Source organism: Homo sapiens, chromosome 15 (assembly GCF_000001405.40).
Source record: "Homo sapiens chromosome 15, GRCh38.p14 Primary Assembly".
Classification (NCBI taxonomy): Eukaryota; Metazoa; Chordata; class Mammalia; order Primates; family Hominidae; genus Homo; species Homo sapiens.
The window spans coordinates 47,850,410-47,859,514 of NC_000015.10; the positions used below are offsets into that span (position 1 = coordinate 47,850,410).

Genomic DNA, 9,105 nt, shown 5'->3' on the forward strand with positions numbered 1-9,105 from the left:
GTTTGAGGACTCTAATGATACAGTAATTGGCCCTCAATAGGCTAAGCTCCATTCACTCAAACACTCAACAATTTTTTTTGCAGTTACCTCATGCTAGGTATTCTGTTGGGAATAGAAAAATGAATGAGATAGTCCCCTCTTGTATGGAACACATGCTTGACTGGGAAGATAGATGTTAGACAAATATACATACGTGCACATACAATAACTTGTCAGTTCAAATTGTGATAAATTCTATGGTGCAAGTAGTATGACCAGAGGATCTTGTATACCTTGGAAATCACAGGGAGCATTTTTAAGGAAGCGGTAATGAAAGGAAGATTTGAAAGGCAGGAAGGAGTAATCCGGGTGAAGACCAAGAGAAAGAACTTTTTAGGTGTGTGATGGCCTCAAAGTGAGAAAGAGCTTGGCCACATTCAACTAAATGGAAGGAGGCTGATATAAACAAAGGGCTTGGGGTCAGGAGGAGAACGGGCCAAGATGAGGTTGGAGATGGAGGCAAGGCCCATATCAAAAACTGCTGCAAACCATGTCAGGAAATTTGTACTTTAAGTATACTGACTGCCAACTGAAAGATTTTAAGCTCTACAGTGACAGGATGACAAATGTGTGGGGGTTTTTTTGTTTGTTTGTTTCTAAAAAAGATTACTCTAACAATCATGTGCAGAATAGACTACAAGGGTCCAAGAAAGAAAGCAAGAAACTAGTGAGGCTATTTTTGGTGTTTAGGAAAGAGATGTAGGTGGCTTAGTCTTGAGGGAATATAAACTTAGATAGTGGATGGACTCAAAATAAAATCTATAGAACTTGGAAGAGATTGTATAGAGTGAGTGATGAAAAAATAGAGATCAAGGATTGCTCCAAGTTCCCAGCATCAGCATTTGGAAAGATGAAGATGTCTTCACGAGCAGAAGAAGACAGATGAAGGAACAGCAAAAAGAAAGATCAAGAGTTCAGTTTAGACAGACCAAGAACTCTGTTCTTGGCAAGTCATGAACACTATGATTAAAAAGAGCCAGATAGGGTAGAGGTCAAGGGTACGGTGAGAAGTAGTAATAGTCATGACCTTTCTCACAAATAAGAATGGGCAAATGTTTTGACCTATCCCACATTAACAACATAAACTAAGAGGCATGATTAGTCAAAGGTTTCAGAAGGAATCTTGAAAAACATAAAGGACAGTCTTTTGATGACTAAAATTATGACCAGGAGTGAGTGTGTGAAATTAGCCTGACTGTTTTTGGGTATGGCTGCCTAACTCATGACCAAGGGAATGTGTGTTCACCTGAATGCAACAGGATTCAAGCTGGAGGCACTGGAACTATCCATCAAGCTTAGTATTTGCCTTCAGAGCTTCTTCTCAAATATTTACAAAAATGGTTAAGAATCCTGAACCTAAGGCTGTGCACAGTGGCTCACTCCTATAATCCCAGCACTTTGGGAGGCCAAGGCAGGCAGATCACTTGAGGCCAGGAGTTCAAGACCAGCCTGGACCACATGAAGAAACCCCGTCTCTACTAAAAATACAAAAATTAGCCAGGCATGGTGGCACATGCCTGTAATCCCAACTACTTGGAGGCTGAGGCACGACAATCACTTGAACCCAGGAGGCAGAGGTTGCAGTGAACTGGGATTGTGTCACTGCACTCCAGCCTGGACAACACAGCAAGACTCTGTCTCAAATAATAATAATAATAATAATTTAAAAAAAGAATTATGAATCTAACATTGAAGTAAAGAGGAAGCACTAGGAAAAAGTGGGAGTACTAGAAAGCATCTTACTCATAGCATGTGTCTCCCGGGAAGCTTATAGAAACTGGATTCTTCTGTGCTTTCTAGTTGGCAAGAAGAGTAAATTCCTTACCAGGCAAACTTAGAGTTCTCCCTAAGTCTCTCACCCTGTTGAATATACAGGAAACCCCACAAAAGAGGACAAGTCTACTAACTTCCAAGGAAATAAAATATGCCTATGCTGCTGTATCTTTCTTACAGACACAAGGAATGATCCATGGAAATAAGGAAGCAACCCCAAAACCCAGTCTGTTGGAAGTCGAGTTTTTGATGATTAAAAAGGCAGGTACAGCCGGGCACAGTGGCTCACGTCTGTAATCCCAGCACTTTGGGAGGCCGAGGCGGGTGGATCATGAGGTCAGGAGATTGAGACCATCCTGGCTAACACGGTGAAAACCCGTCTCTACTAAAAATATAAAAAATTGGCCGGGTGTGGTGGCGGGCACCTGTAGTCCCAGCTATTTGGGAGGCTGAGGCAGGAGAATGGCTTGAACCCAGGAGGCGGAGCTTGCAGTGAGCCGAGATCGTGTCACTGCACTCCAGCCTGGATGACAGAGCGAGACTCCATCTCAAAAAAAAAAAAAAAAAAAGAAAAAGAAAAGGCAGGTACCACCCTGCATGCATAAGGAGGTCCCCTTCTTGGGCCCGTTACATTGCCTGCCAAATCTGAAGTCCCTGCTATGAAGGAACTGTGAAACACTGACTCCAGATCCAGATTTTCTTGTCTTCTGGAAATACAGCGCTGCTCCACTCCCATACTTTAGCAGAATTCTTCTCCTCCCTGCACATTCAACCCCCATATTCTAACCATTGGTACCATTCCAAAATCTTACTATACTTATGCCCTTCTTTCCTGTGCTATGTTAAAACTTCTGGTTAACTATGCTGTCCATATTCTACACATTCACGTCTTAAATAAATACATTTTTTTTTATATTGGCGATTCCAAATTGCCTACAAAACAATTACAAAATACGTCAAGCACACAGTAAAGACTAGTCAAGTATGAAATAGTATAGAGTAAAAGTGTTTCAAGGCAGACAAACTGACCTAAATTCACAGTCAATTGTTCTGCATTGTTAGGACTTCACTAATGATTGTATTTGTTCCATCTTGTCAAGGTTGATCTGCCATTTATGCAATCCATTGATCTACAGACAAGAATTAATTTCGAACTCAACAACTTCTGTCAAAGTAAGGAGCTTAGTTTGAAAATATAGTTTTCTGTTGCAGATCTTTGCTGATATCTTCTAAAACTGAAATTCAGGCAGTACCAACACTAAAATAGAAAACAAATCGAAACAAAAAATCAACTCCATGCAAATGTAGGCTTAAATGTAGGATGAATATATTTGTATCCTACCTTTTCCTCTACCTTTTCTCCTTCCACCCTCTACATGCCTCCCTGTCACCCATCCATTAGCATTGTCAAAGTTGTTTACATTCTGTCCTGCAATCATGAGCAAATGTACTTTGTGTAAACTGATAGAAAACATTGGAAACAAAAACAAAAACCTGTTTACATTATCATGATCATGCAAATGCTGTTCATTCCTGTATTGAACAGCATGCCAGGATTACCTCTTCTTTGTAGGTCTCACCTTGGGATCCTTGAGTCATTGGTAGGAAAAGTTTCTAGCATCAAAGCTAAAAGTGTGTTTTCCCATTATACTCAATTAATTCTATAAAATCAATTTACATTTGACTTTGCTTCACGGTTGGACCATTACTCTCCTTCTTTTGTTTTCCTTGGAGTTTCTAATTTTTTTTTCATTTCAGTTTGTGCTTTTGCCTTGAACATATCACCAAACATGTCCAAGCTATCTTGCAAAGACATTTGTAAATATTTTTATACTCAGAACCTAAACTCTCTTTCTGTGCTGGGGAATTTTCCACAGGGTGCGTCTTTTGGAGTCAAAGCCCAAGTTCCTCTATTGAAAGCTGAAAATGCCCCAGTCTACTTCCCTGATATCCTTTGCATCTAGGCCATGAACAAGTTACCTAGGATTTGCCTATAAAATTTTACTACTGAAGACTTTAAATTAAGAACTAATGACTCAAAGAAGTGGGCACCATGAAGTGTTAAGTCTGGATGGTATGGTTGGCGGCAGTGGCTGGAGTGATGAATTTCTGTAGACCCCAAGACAGTGGTATTAGGGTGCCTAGTGCCCAGGCCCAGGAGCAACCATGAGACAAACTGCATGTTCAGCCTTCAATGGAGGTGGGAGTGGTGTCCCACGGGTCTAAAGCCATGGCCTAATTTTGGCAACTCTCTCTGGCAGCTGCTCAGCTGCCCCTTTTCCTCCACTTTTCTCAACCTGATATTTCAAACTTATCAGTAATGAGGTGTACATTTTCTAAATACTTACTGTCTAAAAGGCTTTCTATTCCGAACTCCCACTTCAGTGGACATAAACTTTGAGCTTGAGTATAATTTTCCGTCAAATTTGAAGTTTCTTGCTTCATTGTCTTCTACCTTCCAACCTTGCTTTTTGAAAAGACTGATGCCAATTGCATTCTTTTTTCTTTGTAGGGATTTGGGAAAATAATTTCTGAAAGATTTGCAGGTCTTCTCTTTGTCCCTGGTGTTCTGAATTCACAAGGCTGTGTCTAGAAAAGGTTTATTTCTATTATTTGGAATCAGCACTTTGTAAGTCCTTTCCATTGGATGGTGCCAGTATTGCAGCTCTGAGAAAATTCCTTTTTTTATTGATTTTTTACTTCCTTTTGTTTTCTTAATTCTTTCTTTCTAAGAAGCTTATTAATCCAATATGCACTCCCTGGATGTTTCCTTTCCCTATGTCTCTTATCTTTTCTTGCATTTTTTTCCCATTTCTGTCTTTTTCTTCTATTTTCTGAGAAATACCACAGACTTTAATTCTTTTATTGATTTTTTGGTTGCTTTTGGCAATTGTATGTTAATCAGCAGAGGCTTTTTCTTTTTTCTTGTTCTCTCAGTGTCTTTTTATGGCATTCAAATCTTGTTTCGTGAATATATTTTCTAATCTCTCTGAGCTTATTACTGAGGAAGGGTTTAAATGCTTCTCTTTCATTTTATGAATCACTTCTTTTCCCCATAGCCTTTTGTTGTATGATTTGGGTTCTAATAGTTCTCCTCATTGGCTTTGTGCTTTTTACTTTCCATTACTATTTACACAGAAAACTGGGTACAAAAATGGTGTTCCTCTGATACCATAAAAGTAAAACTACCCCTGGCCAGAATAAAATACAATTCATATTGGCAAGGCTTTCCTATTTTTTGGCAATAAGAAGCCCATGAAATTATAATTAATGTGTAATTGAAGTAAGTAAGGTGCTTCTCTGGACAAGGTGTTTCCATAAAAAACTCATCACAGAGCAACGGGATGATGTATATTGTGAAGCCAGAATACAGGCACCAAAACCAAAATACATTCCATCTGAACCAGGCTCCAGGCCCATGATGACAATACTCACACTTTCTAGGGGTCTGAGAATCACCTTCCTTTACTGCAGACGGACCTTCCCTATTACTCCTGTCTCCAGCTATAATTGACCTTTAATCTCTCCGAGTGACCTACCAGCTACTGAAGTTAAGGAAACCTTGTTTAGATTGGTGGTTTTTCATTTCTTCTAGGTCACTGACTGCTTTGAGTGTCTGACAAGAACATCAGCTCTTTTCCCCCAGAAAAATGTATATACTTAAAATTGTTTGGATATAATTATAAAAATTTCAATTCATCCATAAACCTTGTGGCCCAGAGGTGAGAAGCTCTTTTCTGTGTTATGAAAAGTCCAAATTTTAACAACTGACATACTATCCAAAAGCCAATGCAAATGTCTAACCACCATATCAGAAAGTGTCCTGCTATCAGCATTATTCTAGGAGTAAGCAAAGAAGTGCGATAATAGTATTTTATCAAAAGATCTTCCAGTGACTGAAAACTAGAGCTTAAAAAGCAACTCAAATATCAAGGGCACAAGAGCTGGAAATTCCAGTCCCCTGATGAGGAAATCTATGCTACGTGAAAAGATGCTTTAAAATTAGTTCCCAGATTGGGCTGGGCACACTTGTTCACGCCTGTAATCCCAGGAATTTGGGAGGCCGAGGCTGGCAGATTGCTTGAGATCAGGAGTTTGAGACCAGCCTGAGCAACATGGCAAAACCCTGTCTCCGCCAAAAATTTAAAAAATTAGCTGGGTGTGGTGGCACTTGCCTATGTAGTCCCAGCTGCTTGGGAGGCTGAGGTGAGAGGATCACTTGAGCCCAGAAGACAGAGATTGCAGTGAGCTGAGATCATGCCACTGCACTTCCAGCCTGGGCTACAGAGCCAGACCCTATATCAATCAATAAATCAATAATTAAAATAAAATTTTAAAAATCAAGAAAAATTAGTCCCCAGCTTGATTTTGTGCCACTGGCCCAAGAATAAACCAGTTTTCCTGTCTGGTGACACACAGGACAACTCTCTGGAATTGATGTGAAGATAGAGCTGGGTTTGGTTCACAGAAGAAACTGTGCAGGTGGGAAGTCAGTTCCGCAGACTCGCCATGAGTCTGACCCAGCTCACTGTTCTCTATGAACTCTTCTTCGTCTTGTCCCTGTGAAGAAAATATTCAACCTGGTCTGTCTTCTACTCTTTGGGTCTGGAGAGATGGGGTCTTGTAGTCCACACAAATGGAGAGTTTCACAGCAGGGCAATACAATGAGGTCAAGAGTCACTATTATCCTTACAGATTACATCAAAAGATGTAATTTATCTTTTTGGAGTTTGAATCCAGAAGTGTCAAGGCAGCAAGATGAAAAGCAGGAATTTATACAGCATGTTCTTGCCCACTTGCCCTCATACCTGGAGGAATGAGTCCTCTAAAAGTTACATACTATAGCCTTAACTCACATACCTTAACTTTTGTATGGAGAAGTGCATAATCCTTGAAATTGACTTGTTTGGGCGTAATGACTAACTAGCTATAAAACCAAAGTTTGAATTGCTAATTTAAAAGTCCACAGGCTGACTGACATTAAGATGTAAATACAAATTTCCCAGTACACACCTTGCATCTGACAGCTACATGACCACTATGTTCCAAAGAAGTCTAACAGCCACAGGCCATTGCTGGGTGGCAGAGGTAAGAGACTCCATGGGGTTATTTGGCTATATTTTATTACCGAGCTCAGGACTTGCTTGTGCCAGAACCAGGAGATGTTGACCTTTTATAATTGAGGCAATCTCCTTAAAGGTCAACCCTGACAGAAAAGACTGTAATTGTGATTGGAATTGCCAACTCCCAGGGCTACGTGAACTCAGACAAGCATTTGCTGTTTTCTCTCACCGCTCTTTCAGCAACTCTACTCAGGCCACGTGGGGTTTTAATATCATCAACTGGGGGGAAATCAACCAAATACAACAGCTGCCACTCCTTGAGGGCAGGGATTGGGTCTTTTTCCATCATGTTACCTGTAATATTTAGCCCAGTGCCTAACAAGTTTACTAAATATTTGTTCTCTCACTGACCAACTGAACAAATGAACAAATGTTCTCACAGTAAATAGTAATGAAATGCCAGCATTTTCCTGGAGTTTTCCCAGAGGGATGTATTCAATTTTACCATTCCTGGCAACATTGAGGGCTCTAAGCTACCTAAACCTGGAAGCAAAACAGAAAGGTAAATTTTCTTGAGCCATTATATGTTTCCCACAGTCTTATCTGAGCTCCCCTTGATGAGGAATAACCTGTCATGTGCCTTAAAGCCTCAAAACCACAACCTCATATAGGTTATGATGCTAATTTTACCGATGAGGAAGTGGAGACTCAGACTGTTTAAAGAGCTTTCCAAGAACCTACAGATAAGTACACGTGGATCCGGGATTGGAAGTCCAAGTCTGTCAGATTCTGACATGTAAAGCTTTCTCCCCCACACAGACCCAAGGGAGCCTTTGGAGTGGTTCTTCTTGTCCTCAAAGACTCTCACTTTCTCCAAAGTTCCCATCACCTGTAAATGAGAAAGGTGACCCCATCAGGCTCCAATTCAGACATAGTATAGCATTTATCTAATGTGGGCTTGAAGCCCTTCACTACTAGCTCTCTGTTGAGTCAAATTCCAGTCAAAGTGAACATGAGTGTGACATGTGTGCAGTAGATTCTGGCCAAGGGTGTAGACTGTGAAATAAATGCCTGCACTCACAGACTGCTTCTTAGGTGTGTGACACTGCATTGAATCTTTCCTTGCTGGTGCAACAGGAGAGCCCAGTCCAGTGCCTCTTCTACTACCTAATGCTAAATGTGTTCAATATCCTTTAGAGGGCAAGGTTCTGTGTAATGCGGAACACTCCTGACTCTACCTGGAGAATTGCGTGAACACCCAAGATCAGAAGCCAAGATGTCAGATCAACAAAATGCCACGGGGCAGGCACTCACCTCAATCTCTCATTCAGAAGGGTGTGCAATTCCAAGTGGAAGTGGGACCCCCAAACCAGCTGTGAATTCTGAAGGCAGCTGAAAAGCCGGGAGATTCACAGCATACTGTCTCTCCCCAAGGTGTGGGTGCAGGTTTCTCTCTCGGGACATTCTCACCTCCCGCTGGGGTACCTCCCCCAGCGTTCAGCAAAGTGCAACAGGAGGTCAGGAGCTCCCAGGACTATGATTCTCTCTCCCTACCAGACAGGGATGATTTGATCTGGTTCCAGTCCAACCCAAAGCTACTTCAGTAAACAGTGTTTTTTTTTTTGTTTTTTTTTTTCTGAAGATTGCCTATTTCTGTCTTTTACCTCCCTTGCATATGGCAAGGAGAAATAAGATAATATATGTGCAATGCTTTGAGCTCCTTGGGAAAGCAGCACTCTTTAAGTGCATGATATTAATAATAGCAATATTTCTGTTACCACGAAGACAAGCTGAGTCCATCTTTCACATGTCCTTTTAAGTCATTTTCCCTGCGGCTGCCTTTTCTGGTAAAATGGTTCTAAATGAGCCATACAAATCTCTAGTTTTAAAATACTCATTTGGGGAAAATGCTGGTTAGGCTGTATCTTACCTGGAAGGGGAATATTCCTATGTTTGTTTCTTGAAATGATGATGATTCCGGTAGGTCAGGAATGGGAGGGCAGTCAACCACCAGGAAACAGACATGTGAAATATGCAATTGGTGTGGAAAATAGAAATCCACAGATACCCTGCCCACCATGGCCAGGATTCCAGGCCCATTTCCTGCCGAGCAATGTGAGCAAGTGACAATAAACTCCTTTTCTGAGAGTTATAAAACACAAGTATCTAGCAGCCAAGCCCCTCATTCTGTTAGAAAGAGACCTGACATTACTATTCCCAATATTAGCAA

The 9,105-nt window shown here is 41.0% G+C and overlaps 1 annotated feature.

The window, feature by feature from the left end:
* Positions 604-1,803: an enhancer, noted in NCBI's record as "CDK7 strongly-dependent group 2 enhancer chr15:48143210-48144409 (GRCh37/hg19 assembly coordinates)". NCBI's record gives its function as "activates an origin of replication core promoter dependent on BRD2, BRD4, P300/CBP, MED14 and CDK7 cofactors, with strong dependence on CDK7, by STARR-seq in HCT116 cells {active_cell/tissue: HCT116}" and the evidence as "EXISTENCE:reporter gene assay evidence [ECO:0000049][PMID:35650434]".